Genomic DNA, 16,838 nt, shown 5'->3' on the forward strand with positions numbered 1-16,838 from the left:
TGTTAAGAAGGAGAAGCCAGTCTCTGACCAGATGCCCCAGGTTTTTTTCTGGGCAGGCAGGACTTAAAAGCAGGCGGCCTCAACTTGGGATAAAAGGACCTCGAGAGCTGAACCACAGCCCCAGGGCAGCACCTTTCCCCCAGGATCCTCTTCCAGTTTACCGGCCACCTTCCCCACTGCATGAGGACTCAGGAAAGATTTCCCAGTATGAAACTGCCTGTGGGCGCCTGAGAAGACTTGCTGCAACACTAGAAACCCCAGTTTCCCCTTCCTCCCGAATTGGCCTTAAACAGCCCTGGACGCTAGCCGATGAAAGGGAAACCTTAGGATATCTGATGTGTTGCAACACTGTAACAGACTCCAAATTGTCTTGGCAAGACCAAACCCCAAGGCTAGGAAGGTAATTCCATCCTGAGGAATGTCTTTTGTTCCTTTGTTCTGCTTTTCACTTCTAATTTGAGGCAACAGGATAAATAAGCAAACAAAAGTGCTCATGCAGATCTCTCAGAATCTTAGGGAAGGGGAAGCCTTAGGCTCTGACATTCTCAGCATTTTTGTTTCAAAGCTTTGGGAAGCTGCAATTGCCCATTGAGGAGACTTGGGCTGCAGATGCCAGAAAGACTAGATTGTCTTGTCCAGAGCAGAGCCATTCTTGTGGGGTCTGAATTTTGGACATTGGTATTAGGGTGTTAGGGAGGTGCTCCTGCTCACTCTTGCCTGCACCTCCTGCACTCCGATTGTCTCCAGGATTAGCTGAGAGCTCTGGGTCCATGGGTTCTCTCCCCTCCCCACAGGTGCCTTGGGAAGGGCACCTACATACACCAAAAGCTCTGGTGTCCTGTCCAAGGCCCTACATTCAAATCCTCTCTTTGCTCCTGTGAAGCTGTGGAGTATTAGAAAAATTGCTGTACCCCTCTGTGCTTCTGCTTCTGTAAAGAAAACTGTCTCTTTGTAATGACCAGATCCATCTTTTGGGGGATTACCTGGGCTCTTGTCGTAGAGTTAACCTGTGAGGGATGCCTTTAAGAGGGTGGAATCTCACCAGAAGGGGATGAGTAGTGCTACTAGCAGAGAAAAGGAGGGTCTTCCCACAAGAAACCTGCAATCCTGAGCAAGACCTAGGTGCAAGAGATGGCCATGGACATTGAGGATTGTAAGTGTCTTTATCTGGCGTCTACTAGATGGACACTAAAATGATATCTGACCCATGGAAGAAAATCCAGAGATATGGAACTCTGGGGACCAATAGGGTTGGGATGGAAACTTCCAGCCGTGGTAGGCCATTCACAGTGGGTAAACCAGATGGCCCAGCTGCATCACATTCTGCATTTTTCCCTCTTTGCCATCTCCTAGTTTCTCGTAAAGTATTATTTGAATCAAGTTCCAACTTTGCCTTCTCTGTGCCATGGAGAAAAACAGTCATATGGAAAAATCTCAAAGGAAAGAGGACTGTTAGACACAGAGACAAGACACGCAGGCCATCCACCCCCTCATATCAAGAAAATCCTTTTAAATAGCTACCGTGGGGGTTCTTGCCTTATTTTTATTAAAGAAAGGTGGCATTTCTTTATAGTAATAAAATGTTATAAAAAGTTCATTTAGAATGATTTGCTCCTTGAACAAAGGAAGGGTGGGTGGTAGAGAGCCCAGGGGTGAGAGGTCGTTGAAATATACTGGTTTTTAAAATTTTATGTTATCTTCTATGGAGTATCAATATATAAAACTGATAAAAGTGGAGGAGCTCTGTTTGAAGAGGAAGATGAGGAAAAGTCTTTTCCAGTTGGATGCTTTTTATTCCTACTTCATCCCAAACTATCCCCTGCAGCACTTCCGCAGTCATCTTAAGGATCCCTGACAGGTACTTGACAAGCATGGCTTTTATTTGAATTCTCCATTTATAAATGAGAAAGCCTAAGTTCAACGAAGTGAGGTGTCCCACCCCAGATACACAACTGGTTAGTGGAAGAAGAGGGACTCCAGACCAAGGGATCCAAAGTAGAACTTCCCAATTGCTGTGCCGTGCCACACTGATGTGCTGCCGTTAGTCTCAAAGCTCTACAGACACACAGGCGGGGACTGGGACTCTTGGGAATTCCCTTGCCAGTGTTTCTTGGAGGATAGCTGGAGTGGAGTGGGATATGATGGTGTGTCCTATGGTCCTCACTGGTAATGGCCCTGCACAACTCCATCACACTCTGCTGCATGGTGAGGTACCAAACATGGCCTAGGAGATGCTCCACCAACTGGATGTTTGCTTGAATTCTCAGCTCAGAACAGGCCACTGTCCTTTAGGGCAAGGGACCCCTTGTGCTGCTGGAGGACTTTTGGTTCTAAGTGCCCAGGTAGTATGACACAGACCCCAAGGTACTGCCAGACAGGGGTAGGATAGGGAGGCTTGGTGGGGTTTCTGGTAGATGCAGCTCCAGATAGGGTCCAACTATCTATCTTTGCAAATATCAAATGCTTCTAGACATTTACAGCTCTTTTAGTAGCATCTAAGCTAGCTGCAGGTTGACTGCTGTAACAGTGCACATACCTGCTACAAATTAGAGATTCTGCATTATTTTGAAATACTTAATATGAAAAAGTTTGGTAGCATTCAAATCCATTAGCATTAACACAAGATATTTAAAAATTACATTTGTCAATGAAAGAAAAGGAAGACCTCTGGGAATCTTTAAATATAATTTCAACTGCTGCAATTTTTTAATGTGCTGCTGACTTTTGCTCATAAAGTTACTTGTCAATGAGATTTTTAAGAATTTAAAGAGATCAGTCCTGAAAACCTGGAACAAGAATTATTAGGTTGGTGCTAAAGTGATTGCGGTTTTTGCCATTGACAGTAACAGTAAAAACCGAGATAGCTTTTGCACCAACTTAACATATGGAAGCATTTAAATATACAACCAGATATAACAAGCTATGTTCGTGGAAACAATATTGTTAGCATTAAAAACTGAAAACTATTTTCTAATGTCTAATATCTAAAATCTATGCAAATTTAAACTTTAATATTATCCCTAATACTTTCTGTTTTGATTCCTTCCCTCCACAAATATGAGTTGAGAGTAGGTAGGCAATATTTAGCTCCAGGAAGTATATCACTGAGCAAACAGACAAAAACTACTAAAAAGTTGACATTCTAGTAGAGAAAAGCCAAGAATAAATAATATCATAAATATAGCATGTCAGGAGATGAGTACTATGGAAAAAAATTGAGAAGAGTAAAATAGATTGATATGGTTTGGATTTGTGTCCCCGCCCAAATCTTATGTCAAATTGTAATCCTCAGTGTTAGAAGAGGGACGTGGTGGGAGGTGATTGGATCACGGGGGCAGATTTTCCTCTTGCTTGTTCTCATGATAGTGAGTGAGTACTCCCAAGATCTGGTTGTTTAAAAGTGTATAGCACCTTCCCCCTCTCTCTCTTCCTCCTGATCTGGCCCTGTGAAGACATTCCAGCTTCCCCTTCACCTTCTGCCATGATTAAAAGTTTCCTGAGGCCTCCCCAGCCATGCTACCTGCACAGCCTATGGAACCATGAGCCAACTAAACTTCTTTTCCTTATAAATCACCTGGTCTCAGGTATTTCTTTATAGTAGCATGAGAAGAACTAATACATATATTGATAAAATAAAGTGGTCAGGGCAGGCCTTGCTGAGATGGCAACACTGAGCGAGGATTTGGTGATGGTGAGGAAGTAAGCCATGCAGACATCTGGGGAAGAAAACTCAGACAGGGGATAGAGAGCATGTGCAAAGGCCCTGAGGCACAGCAAGCTTGGCATGTTCAGAGAACAGGAAGGAGGCCTCTGTGGCTGGAAAGAAGTGAACATAGAAGATAGTAGTAGAAGACGAGGTCAGGGAGGTGACAGATACCAGACTGTGAGGGGGCTTGTCAACATTTTAAGAACGTTGCTTTTGACTCTGAGTAAACTGGAAACCCCTGTGGGATTTAAGTGGAAGAATGATGTCTTATTTATGCTTAGTAAGGAGCCCTCTGGCCATTGTTTTGAGCTTCTGTTAGGAGATGGACACTAAAATGATATCTGACCCACGGAAGAAAATCAAGATATGGAACTCTTGCGATCCATGGGGTTGTGATAGGACCTTCAAGCCCCAGGTGGACCATTCACAGCTGGTAAACCAGATGGCCCAGCTGCCATCATTGTTTTGACTGAAGGGGATGGAGGTCAGAAGTAGGGGGACTACTTAGGTGGCTGTCATGAGAATCCAAGGGAGAGGTGATGATGTTTGGAATGAAACAGTAGCAGTGAAGGTGGTCAGTTTATGACTGTATTCCAATGGTAGAGGCTAGAGGATTTCTGATGTAGAACATGGGCATACATATCACATAAAATATATACAGGCTCTAGAGGATAGAGAATATGAAAGAAAGAGTTGAAGATGGCTCCAAAGGTTTTGGCGTCAGCAACTGGAAGGATTAACAAGAGCTTAACTGAGCTGGGGGAGACTGCAGGTGGAGTGAGCTGGTGAAGATGGTGGCAGGTCAGGTGTTCAGAAACTAATATGCTGTTTTTGAGATACCTATGATGCATCTAAGAGGAAATGTCAACTAGGCAGTTGGATATAAAAGCCTGCAGTATAGAGGGATTTTATTTTATTTTTATCATAATAATATAATATAAAGTTATAGGGGGCTTTACCCCCAGCCATATATATTTTTCTATCTATTATCTGTCTGTCTATCTATCTATCTATCATCTACCTATCATCTATCTATCATCAATCTATCTATCATCTATCATCTACCTATCATCTATCTATCATCTATCTATCTATCTATCTATCATCTATCTATCTATCCATCCATCCATCCATCCATCCATCCATCCATCCATCTATTTATCCATTTTAATGCCCTCAAGTTTACCCCAGTGTGTCATCAAGTATTATCTTCCTCTATGAAAAAGTGTGGAAAGCACTGTCCTAGTAGCAAGGGCCTCTGGCCTGGGCAGTCAAGAGTCCTGAGCTCCAATTCTGCCTTGTTTATGTGTAGAACTGATGATCAGTTGGTGGCACTGCCATGGCTGAACCAGCTATTTCTGGTGGCATCTATTCTGATTGGCCAGAGCCAGTGTTCTACCAATTGTTCAACATCTTGAACTTCACCCTTGATTATGGTGAACATGTTTTGGAGTCAGGGAGTGGTAGCTTTGCACTAGCTCAGCCCCTTACCAGCTATATGCAGCTGGGAACATGGGTCTGGTTTGCTAGTTCATTGGGTGTTGGCTGCTCAGCTTGGGAGCCCCCTTTCTTTCTTTGGGAGCCCATCAGGCAATTCTTGATTGGAGCCAGTGTCCATGAAGGGTGCCCTGGCCCCTGGCATTGAGGAGTGAATGCATGGCGTACTCACCCTCAGATGACACCACTTGGGAATTTAGATTTTAAGATAGGGACATAAAGGTGCAAGGAGAGTTTGAAATTCACCTTGGTGGTGGCCATCCAGTGTCTGGTGCAGTGGTCTCCTAACGGGCTCTTCCTTGTGTGTCCTGGCCCTGACTCTAACCATCTTGGATCATACATGTTTCCTAAGTTCCCTGTATATTCCATGAGCTATCAATATCTTGCTCCCAAATTTCTTTTCTGTTTAAGTTAGCTAGAGTCTTTTTTTATTGTTTGTTTGTTTGTGATGGAGTTTCACTCTTGTTGCCCAGGCTGCAGTGCATTGGTGCGATCTCGGCTCACCGCAACCTCTGCCTCCTGGGTTCAAGCGATTCTCCTGCCTCAGCCTCCCAAGTAGCTGGGATTACAGGCAACCGCCACCACGCCCAGCTAATTTCTGAATTTTTACTAGAGACGGGTTTTCACCACGTTGGCCAGGCTGGTCTTAAACTCCTGACCTCAGGTGATCCACCCTCCTCAGCCTCCCAAAGTGCTGGGATTACCAGGCATGAGCCACCGTGCCCAGCCTAGAGTCCATTTTTGAATGCTGACTGACACACTGACCTAAGGCAGGCCACTGACCTCTTTGGAGGCTTGCTTTTTCTTCTATAAAACGGAGATCACATCGATTGCACAGAATTAAATGAGACAATAGTTTCATGAACCTAGTACAGTAATTGGCAAAGAGTAGGTCCTTAAACATTTCCCAATAATAAACTCTGTTTCCCTTGGCTGGCCTTAGTTGCTTCGTCTTGGAAGTAGAAATGACAGAGAATGCTAATTCATCTCATTCTCTTTACATCTCTTCAGAGGACAGCAGACTGGCTCATCCAGTCACAAGACATGGGCCTGCTTGAAAGGCCAGAGAATTGGAAACAGGGCAAAAATAGGACAGTCAAGGGCTCGCTGATGTCAGGAGGAGTCTTATTAGCTAGTCCATAACTCAGCAGATCACAGTGCATGTGCCCCTGATTCCTGAGCTTTCTGCAGTGCGAGGGATGTGGCCTCATCCATCAGCCGGCCCCACGGGCATGCAGACAGGAGCACTGCAGTGCCGCTGGAATCAGCGCGGAGCAGTTAGTTCTGGGATGGAGGCTGAGGCAGAGTGAGGTGTCGGTTCCACCAGTATGTGGTATCTCCAAGGCTGTATTAGCAGGGGGCTGTCAATCTCCAGGCAGAAAAACAAGAGACAGAAAGAAGAAACAATCAAGAATCAGACAGCAACAAGAGAGAGGGAGCGAGAGGCTGGGGGACTATTTTAAGTAATGTTTGATAAATTACCTGCCTGTCCTGGCCTCCTCATAAAGATGCTGTGCAGCTGATGTTCGCATTTGACAACTCACCACCACAGCAGGCTGCGGGGATGAGACAAGCCGGGGCTGAAGGAGGTGGCTGGGCACTCCTACACTAGGGACCCCGGGTGGGGGTCCATGTCCATTGGTCACAGGTTCACAGGTGGACGCATGCAGCGCTGCACACACATGGAAACATCTGTGCTCACAGGGACTGAGGTTGTTGTGTTCATTGTTATGCATATAGGCACACACATGGCACACAGGCAGGCCCAACCCCGCGCTCCCACTCACTTCACGTGAGGCCCTGCCCCTGCCTGGTCCTGTAAAATGCCAAGACACATTCATTGGCCAGAGTGCTGTCTCCAGGTAGGCAAGAGAAGATGCCCAAGCTGGGAGCAGGCACCTGAACTGTTGGGGAGGGAAGATGGGGGCATTGCAATTTTCCAGAAGTTTAGATGTGGCACAAAGATCAAACAAAGATGTGGATCTTTGTGCTGCCCTAGGGAACCCCCAAAGCCTATTCAGCAAGGATAATTCATTTAGTTAACAGCCTTCTGTGAAAGTGGTAAAATTGCTGTAGCAAGAATGTTTCTAAGTAGGGTACCTAGGTCTGGCTGGACACACAGCTTCTGCCCTCTCTTTAACTTTCTGACATCTAACTTGCCCCCGCTCCTACCCTAAAAAGAACTACCTGTACACAGTTTGAGCACATGAGATCCTCTGCCTGTAAAATGGGGATAATAGCACCTACTGCTGCTTGCCTCACAGGGTTGTTATGAGATTAAAATGAGATTACGTCCATGAAGGCTTTCTGCATTTCGTCAGGTATCATGGGGAGCACTGGTAGATTATTAAGAGAAGGTGGTGTTTGTTACACAATTTGGAAGACCTCAGTTGGAGTCCCCACTTTCTTCCTATGACTTAGGCAGGATGCCCAGTGTCTGCTCCTTGGTTTTCTGATCTGTACATTGGCAATAACAACACTGCTATGGTCTTAATGTTTGTGTCGCTCAAAAATTCCTATGTTGAAATCCTACCCCCACAAAGTGATGGTGTTAGGAGGTAAGGCCTTTGGGGGTGATTAGGTCGTGAGGGTGCAGCCCTCCTGAATGGGATTAGTGCCCTTGTAAAAGGGCTGAAGGGAGCCTGTTTATCCTTCTGCCCTTCTGCCATGTGAGGGCACTGAGACAAACCACCATTTATGAGCCAGAAAGCAGTTCCTCACCAGACACCAAACTTGCTGGGGCCTTGAACTTGAATGTCCAGGCCTCCAGAGTGGTGAGAAATATAAATGTCTGTTGCTGGGAAGCCACCCAATCTGTGATGCTTCATTATAGCAGCCTGAAAGGACTAAGACAGACACCCATCCTACTCTACTTTGTTGTGTGGGTCCAGTGAGACAACACAGGTAAAAGTGTTTCATGACTGTAAAGTGCATGTCAGACTGGGTCGTTATGCTGATGGCAGGACCTGGAGTATGTGCCCCTGCCTGGGGTGGTGCTGGAGCTAACTAGGGGACAGTCTGACAGTTGGGGTGCAGGTAGTCTAAGATCTTAGGGGGCCTGGTGCCCCGCCAAAGCCATGCCCTTCTAGTGGAATATTTGAGGAATCTAGTGGCAAACTAGCCCCTGACCTGGTGGAAGGGGCTCCCTGGGGCTGTGATGTCTCTTTCCTGGACCTCATAACTGGAAAGGAGACAGGCTGGATGTTTCTTCTAGAAACGCCGCCGATGTTGTGAACTTTACAACAAGAGTCTAGTCTTCGTCGTTTCTTCCTTTTCCACAAGTCTTGGGGAGTCTCTAAAAATAAGGTACAGGAGACCCTGAGCCTTTTTGAGAAACAGGAAACCTAAGGGTGTCTTCTATCTTCACGTTTTCTTTCTTTTTTATAGTTACAGCTTCAGGGAACAGATGTGCAGGTTTGTTACATGGATCTACTGCATAATGGTGACGTTTGGGCTTCTGGTGCACCCATGCACCCAGGTAATTTTTCAACCCTCACTTCCTTCCACCCCACTCCCCTTTTGGAGTCACAAATGTCTATTGTTTCCATCTTTTTATGTCCATGTGTACCCATTGTTTAGCTCCCACTTATAAGTAAGAACATGCAGTATGTAACTCTCTGTTTCTGAGTTATTTCACTTAGGATAATGGTCTCCAGCTCCATCCATGTTACTGCAAAAGACATGATTTCATTCTTTTAAATTCTTTTACATGGCTGCATAGTATTCCATTTTACACACACACACACACACACACACACACACACACACACACATACACACACTACATTTCCTTTATCCAGTTATCAGTGAATGGTAACAGAGGTTGGTTCTCTGACTTTGCTATTGTGAATGCATCTCCATATTTTCAACCACACAATGCCGTACAGTGGTTTCATTTCCTCCTCTATAAAACAAAGACAGGACTGGGCACGGTGGCTCATGTCTGTAATCTCAGCACTTTGGGAAGCCAAGGCAGGTGGATCACTTGAGCCCAGGAGTTCAACACCAGCCTGGGCCACATGGCGCAACCCCATCCCTACTAAAAAAAAATACAAAAAAATTAGTCGGGCCTGGTGGCACATATCTGTAGTCCCAGCTTCTCAGGAGCCTGAGGTGAGAGAATCACCTGAGCCTGGGAAGTTGAGGCTGCAGTGAGCTGTGATTGTGCTACTGCACTCCAGACTCCAGCCTGGGCAAAAAGAATGAGATCCTATCTCAAAAACAAAAAACAAAACAAAACAAAAAAACCTAGCTGGTCTGAGAGGCAGAGGGGGCCTGGGCCTGACTCCCTGCTGACTGAAGCTTGCTGCTGTTCACCAGCCTCATGGCACATGGGGCTCAGTTTCCTGTCTCAGCAAAATGACAAATGGCTGCAGATGGAGGACTTTGAGGACACTCACAAATAGCTGAAATGGAAATGTGAAATCCAGGAATGCCATGTGGAATTCCCTTGTGACAGAGTCCAAATGGGAACTGGAGGCCTTGGCTTGAGCAGGGTTCAACCCCAAGACATCACACAGGCTGCAAGATCACATCCCCAGCCTGGGATCCAGTGTGCCCTCTGCTGTCTTCTGGGGCTCCATTTGCTTTTCTGACTACCGGGACTGACATCTGTGAGTGAGAATGCCTGACGAGGTAAATGACATAATGCATCAGAAACTCCAGGGGCCCCAGACAGTTTTTCCCAGGTTTCGTCCAGAGCAGGGGAGAGGGCAGCTGGAGAGGCCATGGCCAACATGTGGCTGGGCAGGCTGGGGAAGAAGGGAAGAATGTGCTGAATCGTTCCAAGCCCCTCAGAGCTGTGGCAGACAGATGTGGAGTCTGGCCAGAGGTCCCTCCTGCTGTCTTCTCTGAGCCCTGTCTATCTAGATACCTCTGATGGCTGGGGTCAGGGAGGAAGACAGGCCCCTGGGCCACAAACGGGACAACAGCAGCTCTACCTTTCATCTCTGATCCGCTTGCCTCCTTCCCCATGGGGGAAGATGGCCCCAGCATTTGTTCTTCCCTGAAATGCTTGTTGAGATCAATATACAGGCAGGCCCAGAGGGGAGCCATGTAATGGAACATTGTCTTCCAAGTTCCGAGCTGTCTCCCAGGACTCCAGAAGGCCGGCTGTGGCTATGTGCCCAGTGAGAGTCCCACACAGATTTCTGCAGTATTGTTAGGGTTTTCATCATTAGTATCGACTTGCTCCTCATCTGGTAGACACATAAATCTCTCATCTGACCAGAAAAAAAGTGTTGTGGTGGGAAGAACACTGAGCTTTCAGCAAGAATCTTGGGGTCTACCTTAGCCACTAAGTCAGTGCACTAGTGGCTCCTCATCTGTAGAATAGGGGTGAGCAATTCCTGTTCTGCTCGCCTCACTGGCTCACATGAAATTAAGAGTGCAAAATCATCTCGACTGAGGGAAGAGAAGGCACCTGTATTGAACACCTGCTACATGTCAGGTGCTTTACCACAGGGTCTTCCCCAACTCACTGAGACTTTACATATGGTAGCTCATTAATCCTCTCGGCAGCCTATAGGTGGCTATTGTCATGACCATTTTACATGTGAGGGAATGAGCCTTGGAGAGACTCAACGATGTGTTCTAGCCAGTAAAGGGTGAAGCCACATTATCCAGGACAGGCAACATCGGCATCACTTGGGAGCTGTGAGAAAAGCAAGTTCTCAGACCCCACTGCAGACCTGTGAATCTGAGTTCCCAGCGATCTCCTCTGCATGGTGTTGATTTCTTTCTAAGTATTCAAATATAAGCCCAAGTATAAGGTGCAACAATAGTACAATAATAGCATACCCACTCTGGGGGCAAACTCTCCCTCCAGGAGGCGTTTCTGACAAATTCTGGTTCCTGTTTCTTGGAATCCAATCCTACTCAGAAAGTTAGAAGCACAGGCCCTGCTGGGCTGCCCTGTCGGACACATGGGGAGAGTCTGGAAAGACACTCACCCACCCCACGAGACCCCACCCCCAGCCTGGGGCCAGTTCCTCCCTGGAAATGAGGCAGAAGAAATCCACCTCTTTACTCCTGGAATTTGCTTCCCAGATGAGTTCCCTAGTTGGAAAGATTGTGCGAGTTCCTGGGGCCCTGGAAGGCTTTGAAGCATTTTCCCTCTGCATCTAACACTGCTGGCCCCCCACCGGGCAGTGATTGGCTTCGGAGCCCCTCCCAGCTTGGATACAGAAGCCGCTCCCGCCAGGACGCCCAGTAAGTGACTTGATCTCGGCGCTGGCAGATGGTGGAGCTATCAGAGCTGCAGCTGCCTTGGCTGCACACATCCCTCTCGAGGGAGCTTTCCAGTCATTTAGCTCCACTGCGGACTCAGAGCCAAAATTAACAGTCTCCGGTGGGCCCTCAAAGCTCACCACCCACCCAAACACTCTGGCTTGCTGTCATTCAACAGATAGCCAGTGGGGAGCGGGGCCCAGACTCACCCTCCCTGCCCACCACCCGCAAGAGGAAACAGCACCACCACCTCTTGTGCCACAGCTGGGCCGGTCCCAGGAAGAAGCCAGCTGGGACTTGGAGTGACAAGCCTTCCCTCTGATGTGTGTGCAGGGGGTGCCTGGTACAGAGGGACAGCAACCACAGAGCACTGCAGACGCCAAGACATGGTAAGGGGCCAGGACAGCCGAGCTGCCTCCCATCTGACACTGGCTTCTCAGGGGCTAGGCCGGGGGGCTCCTCCAGGGGTGGGTGGTGACAGTGTGCCCAGTGGTTAAGTGCCCGAGCCTTGGAGTTGGACACATTTGGGTTCAAGTGCAGGCTTCAACAGTCATTCACTGTGTGGTCTGGGGCAAGGTAGCCAACCCCTCTCAGCCTCCGTTTCCTTATCTGGAAAATGGAGATAATTACCCACAGTAGTACCTACCTCAGGTAATGAGGATTTAATGAGAATGTTAATGAATGTTAAGAGTTTAGCAGATGCTCGACAAATACTAAGTACTTAATTAATCATACCTGTCATTATTCAGTAGGCCTGCCCCTGCTGCAGGGCATACAACTTAAAAATATACTTAAGAATAAAGAAAAGCAAGGGTCAATGGATGTGGTTGTTCATTCAAAATCCCTATTGTGAGAACCTACTGTATGCAGGGTGTCTTAGTCCATTTGGGCTGCTATAAAATAAATACCACAAACTAGGTAGCTTATAAACTATAGACATTTATTCCTCACAGTTCTAGAGGCTGGAAAGTGCAAGAGCAAGGCACCAGCAAATTTGGTGTCTGGTGAGGGCATTCTCTCTGTGTTCTCATCTGGTGGAAGAGGCAAGGGATCTCTGTGGGCTCTTTTATAAAAGCACTATTCTCGTGTATGAAGGCCCCACCCTCCCAAAGGCCCCACCTCCTAATTCCATCACTCTAGAGGCTAGGATGCCAACGTATGACTGTTAGGGACACACAAACACCTAGACCCAGCACAGGGTGCTGGTGGTGTGATGAGGAATAAGCTGTGGACCCGCCCTCGTGGTGCTCACAGAGGAGAGGGAGCCTGGTGGGTCATGCTCAGAGCTTACAGAATGGCAAGTATGCTGGGACACGCAGAGATGCCGTAGAAGCCCATGGCTGAATATGAAGGAGCCTTGTGACTCAGGGAAGGTTTCTTGCGGGAGGTGATATCACAACTGAGTCTTAAAAGATGAGTTAATGAAGCCACAAGGGGCAGGTGGAGCAAGAGGGAGAAGATAGAGTGCAGCAGGAAGCCGTTGAGTGCGCTCAGAGCACTCTGGGACCTGCAAGCAGCCCCGCATGCCTGGAGCCTAGGGAGGTGCAGGAGCTCTGGGCCAGGGCAGGTCACAGAGGACCTTGTGTATATGTCCAGGGGTTAGGACTTCTTTATCCCGAGCACCTGGTGACTAACTCACTAAACAAAAAGATAACGGCTAAGTCTCTGAAGGACTTTAAGCAAGGGAGTTGCACAGTCAGGCTTTCAGTTCAGAAGGCTCACTCTGGCTGACAGGGAGAGGACGTCCAGAAGGGGCCTGCACTGGAGGCCCATGCAGAGTCCAGGAGATAGTGGACAGGCTGGGTCCAGAGGTGTGGCCAGCAGGCTGCCCCCACTCCCAGGAGATATGTTGGTGAGGCGGGAGGAGCCAACACAGAGGAATGGAGTAGGGGCCTGGGGGGACCGGACAGACAGGCTGGCATCTGGTTGTGGAGATGGAAAAATAACTGGACAGGAAAGGGAGGGACTGCAGCAGGTCTGTTGGATGGGGAAGAGGAGAGGGCTATGTGGGAAGGAGGTAAGGGGGCAGGGCAGATTTGCCTGACTCAGAAATGCCTAGAGAAGAAAGGCCATGGAGGCAGACGCAGACTGGGGCAGAAGGGTCCCCTTGAGGCTGCCTGTGTGGGAGCGCTTACACACTATCCCATGGGGCCGCTGATCTGCCCCTCCTGATTACCCTTCATCCTTCAGCACTTCCCCTGGGCCAGGCTCTGTGCTGGGCTGAGGGAGCAAAGAGGAAACGCCTTGGCCTCTGCTCATGAGGCCTCCCAGGGCAGGAATGTCCAGGAAGGGGGTGCCGTCGTTATTGTCCCCACCTTGCAGAAGACAGGACTGAGTGTCTGAGCCTGTGACTAGTCCGGAGTCATGCAGCCAGTTAGGGACAAAGCTGTAGTGAGAAACGCGGTGTCTGCTGTTAAACGTGGCGAGGTTTACACTGCATTATTCCAAGTCCCGGGAGGAGAGCCCCTGGAAAGCATCTTTGTGCTGGCAAAACCCTCCCTGAGGTCATGAGTCGGTTAGGCACCAGTAAAGGGTGCCAAGGTGAGGATGGAGAAGGTGGTGAAGGAGGGTCCAGCTCCACTGCTGAGGCACACAGCTCCCCGGCAGGGAGAAGCGGCTCGCGTGAATTCACATTCAAAACGCATCTGATGCACCATGTTCATTTCATCTTCAAGTCTTCCGGTAGAGGACTTCTGCCTCCCAACAGCTCCCTGGAGCCCCCTGCCCTTCAGGAGGTCCTTGATTTTCTCCATAATGATTCTCAGAACAGTTTGAAACCCATTTCAAACACAGGGAGTGAGGGACGCCCCGGCGACCACCAGCCCCCTCTGTGTTTGCCACAATGGGGGAATCTCACAAGATGGGTTTCCGTGCTTCCGCCTGTAGGAGTGTCCTTTTCCACAACCAGGGACTGGCGTGTGCCCTCTCCACCCTCCCCAAGCCCAGATAGGTGCCCACAAGCAGAGGCAAGGCCCAGGTCCCTCTTGCCCCAGCAGCTGGTCAGAAAATGAGAAGAATGAGCAGGAAGATAAGACACCACACGACCAGAGCCTGGAGGGCTGAGCCGGCAGACAGAGAAGGGGCACCCTCCCTCGCCCTCTTCTCCTCCCTCCTCCTCCCAACATCTGAGGCCACTGACCCCTCTCCTGCACCAGTGACTCCTGAGACAACAGAGCTTCAGGGGTGAGGAGCTCCATTTCTGGTCTAAGAGCTGGGGTCCCAGAGTCCCAAGATGCAGCCCCAGCAGGCCAGAGCAATAAGCTTTTTTCCTTGTCCACATCCCATGGGTCACTGCCCCTCTGTCAGAAAGGGTGGGCACCACTGCTGGCTCCGGAGGGTGAGGTCAGAAGAGGAGAGACCATTCCACCTGATGCAACAAACACTTGTTCATTCACTTGCTCACTCACTCACTCATTATCATTATCAGTATTATTATTTAGCACCCACTATGTGCCAGGCATTGGGTTAGCCTATAGGAATAAGCAAAGCAGGCCCAGTTCCTGCCCTCGTGAAGCCTGCAGTTCAGGTTGTTGCACACCTACTGTGTGCCCTTCTTGGAGTCAGGTAGTAGAGGAAGCTCCAGGATGAATGAGCTAGAAATTCTGCCCTCAGGAGATGTGGCAAACAAGCAGCCCCATTCCAGGCTGTCCCTGGCAAGGGTGTGGCTTGGGTGCCAGTGGACTCCAGAGGCTGTTCCCCTGGTGCACGGAAGCCTCTACGTTCCGAAAGGGAGGGGCTCACTCAGCCTCCCTCAATCACCTCTTCTCCTCTGACACCTTCTATACCAAGATGACCTTCCTGATCTCAGACCTGGACCTCCCCAGCTGCATTTTAAAATAACATGCTGTTATTTTCAATTGCAATGGCAGTCCTGCTTTCTCCAGAAATTTCCCCTCGGTTTAATACGAATGGAACTGGGAGCCGGAAGAGGCCTGGGGCTCTGACCCAGCTCCACCACTTAGATTATGACCATGGGATGGCACTTCACCTACCCAGGACTTTGTCTCTCCGTGAGGACAAGGACACTCACTGTATGTGCCACACAGGGTAGTGACACCCTCATGGGTTAATAGATGCAAAGTCATTGAAATGATAGTGATACTTGTCAGTTATTGAGTGCTTGTTGCACGCCCAACCCTGGACAAAGGGCTTTACAAGTGTTATCTCAGGGAATTCTCCACTGGGATTGGAAAGGTGGGTTCATTGCCCAAGGTTACACAGGTAGAAAATAGCAAGGTCCAGGTACGAACCCAGGGTAATTCCAGAGTCACAAGTCCCAAACGCTGCCCACAACGGCTCTCACCAAAGCTCTTCACAGAATTTAGAAGGGGTATACAACGATAATTCTCCTCAAAATGCAAAGCCTTGCGTGGAAAACACCTCAGGCCCTGAGTCCCAAAAAGCCTCATTCTCCTTCCCTTGCCTTGTTCCGGGTGGGGGCCCCTCTCCTTCTCCTCCCCCACAACCCATTTCCTCTACTGCAGGGAGTGGTGCACCCAGGACCACCAAGCTATTGTTGCAAGATTCATTTATTTTAGTAAAAGTTAAGTCTCCTCGGCTACATTTCCATCCACAAACCATCAATATTTCAGTAGTATTGCTCAGCCCAGGGTGGCAGAGATGGCCCCCTCTGTGTCTGAGCGGCGGCTTCCAGTTAAAAGTTCACCACAGAAAGTTTGATGCCTAATAAATTGGAGCCTTTCCTGCTTTAAATCATTTTTAAACCACGATTGCTGCACAAAATATAATTATTACAAACCGGTCATTTGTAACACAGAAATCTCATTAAAACGATTCCATGCTGGAAAGGTGGGTGGGAGGGGGCGGCGGTGGTGGTGGCGGTGGTAGGCGTGGGGTGTGGCTGGAGGAGCGGAGGCCTAGGGAAGGCTTGGAGGGGGCCGGGGGATGCTCTTAATTACAGATTGATTATTTCTGGTGATTGAGCACAGAATATAATCAACTCAACATTTCTAGGCTGGAGCAGAGGGGCAGGGATTGGCGGTGACAAGGATTGAGGAATCTTCCAGACCATCTTCTCTTCTGAGCTGAACAACTGGCCGAGGGGTGGGTCAGAGGGCCACAGGCCAGTGGCAGCAGGCTCCCCCGTCAGATTTCCGGCTGGTCCCCACCCCAGAGGTGGCTGCAGAGTTTGCCAGGGGCTTTGGAGCTGCCTGTTTCATCCACAGTGGAAAGAGACTGCATGATTACCGGAAGAGCTGTGGCTAGTTGCTGGGGAGACAGGATGTGAGACTTAAGGCAAAGGACCTGGGTTCAAATCTCAGCTCCAATCTTTGCAAACTGCATCCTTTGAGGAAATGATTCACTCAAAGTGCCCAAGCCTGGGTTTCCAGGTGGCTGAAAGGGGCATGGTTCTGCCCTCCCAGCCCTGCAGGGCTGTGGTGCAGCT

General features: G+C 48.8%; 4 annotated features.

Moving 5' to 3' along the window:
• Nucleotides 666–835: an enhancer, noted in NCBI's record as "experimental_19319 CRE fragment used in MPRA reporter constructs". NCBI's record gives its function as "activates a minimal promoter by MPRAs in K562 erythroleukemia cells, with activity observed for the non-introgressed 11:119835792 or rs12574743 variant allele {active_cell/tissue: K562}" and the evidence as "EXISTENCE:reporter gene assay evidence [ECO:0000049][PMID:34662402]".
• Nucleotide 751: a transcriptional cis regulatory region, noted in NCBI's record as "Neanderthal adaptively introgressed variant 11:119835792 (GRCh37/hg19 assembly coordinates) or rs12574743 in the experimental_19319 CRE". NCBI's record gives its function as "modulates activity of the experimental_19319 enhancer by MPRAs in K562 erythroleukemia cells {active_cell/tissue: K562}" and the evidence as "EXISTENCE:reporter gene assay evidence [ECO:0000049][PMID:34662402]".
• Nucleotides 10,897–11,579: an enhancer, noted in NCBI's record as "NANOG-H3K4me1 hESC enhancer chr11:119845938-119846620 (GRCh37/hg19 assembly coordinates)". NCBI's record gives its function as "activates a minimal SCP1, AML or CMV promoter by ChIP-STARR-seq in naive H9 embryonic stem cells {active_cell/tissue: H9 hESC(naive)}" and the evidence as "EXISTENCE:reporter gene assay evidence [ECO:0000049][PMID:30033119]".
• Nucleotides 13,734–14,608: an enhancer, noted in NCBI's record as "H3K4me1 hESC enhancer chr11:119848775-119849649 (GRCh37/hg19 assembly coordinates)". NCBI's record gives its function as "activates a minimal SCP1, AML or CMV promoter by ChIP-STARR-seq in naive H9 embryonic stem cells {active_cell/tissue: H9 hESC(naive)}" and the evidence as "EXISTENCE:reporter gene assay evidence [ECO:0000049][PMID:30033119]".

Source organism: Homo sapiens, chromosome 11 (assembly GCF_000001405.40).
Source record: "Homo sapiens chromosome 11, GRCh38.p14 Primary Assembly".
Classification (NCBI taxonomy): Eukaryota; Metazoa; Chordata; class Mammalia; order Primates; family Hominidae; genus Homo; species Homo sapiens.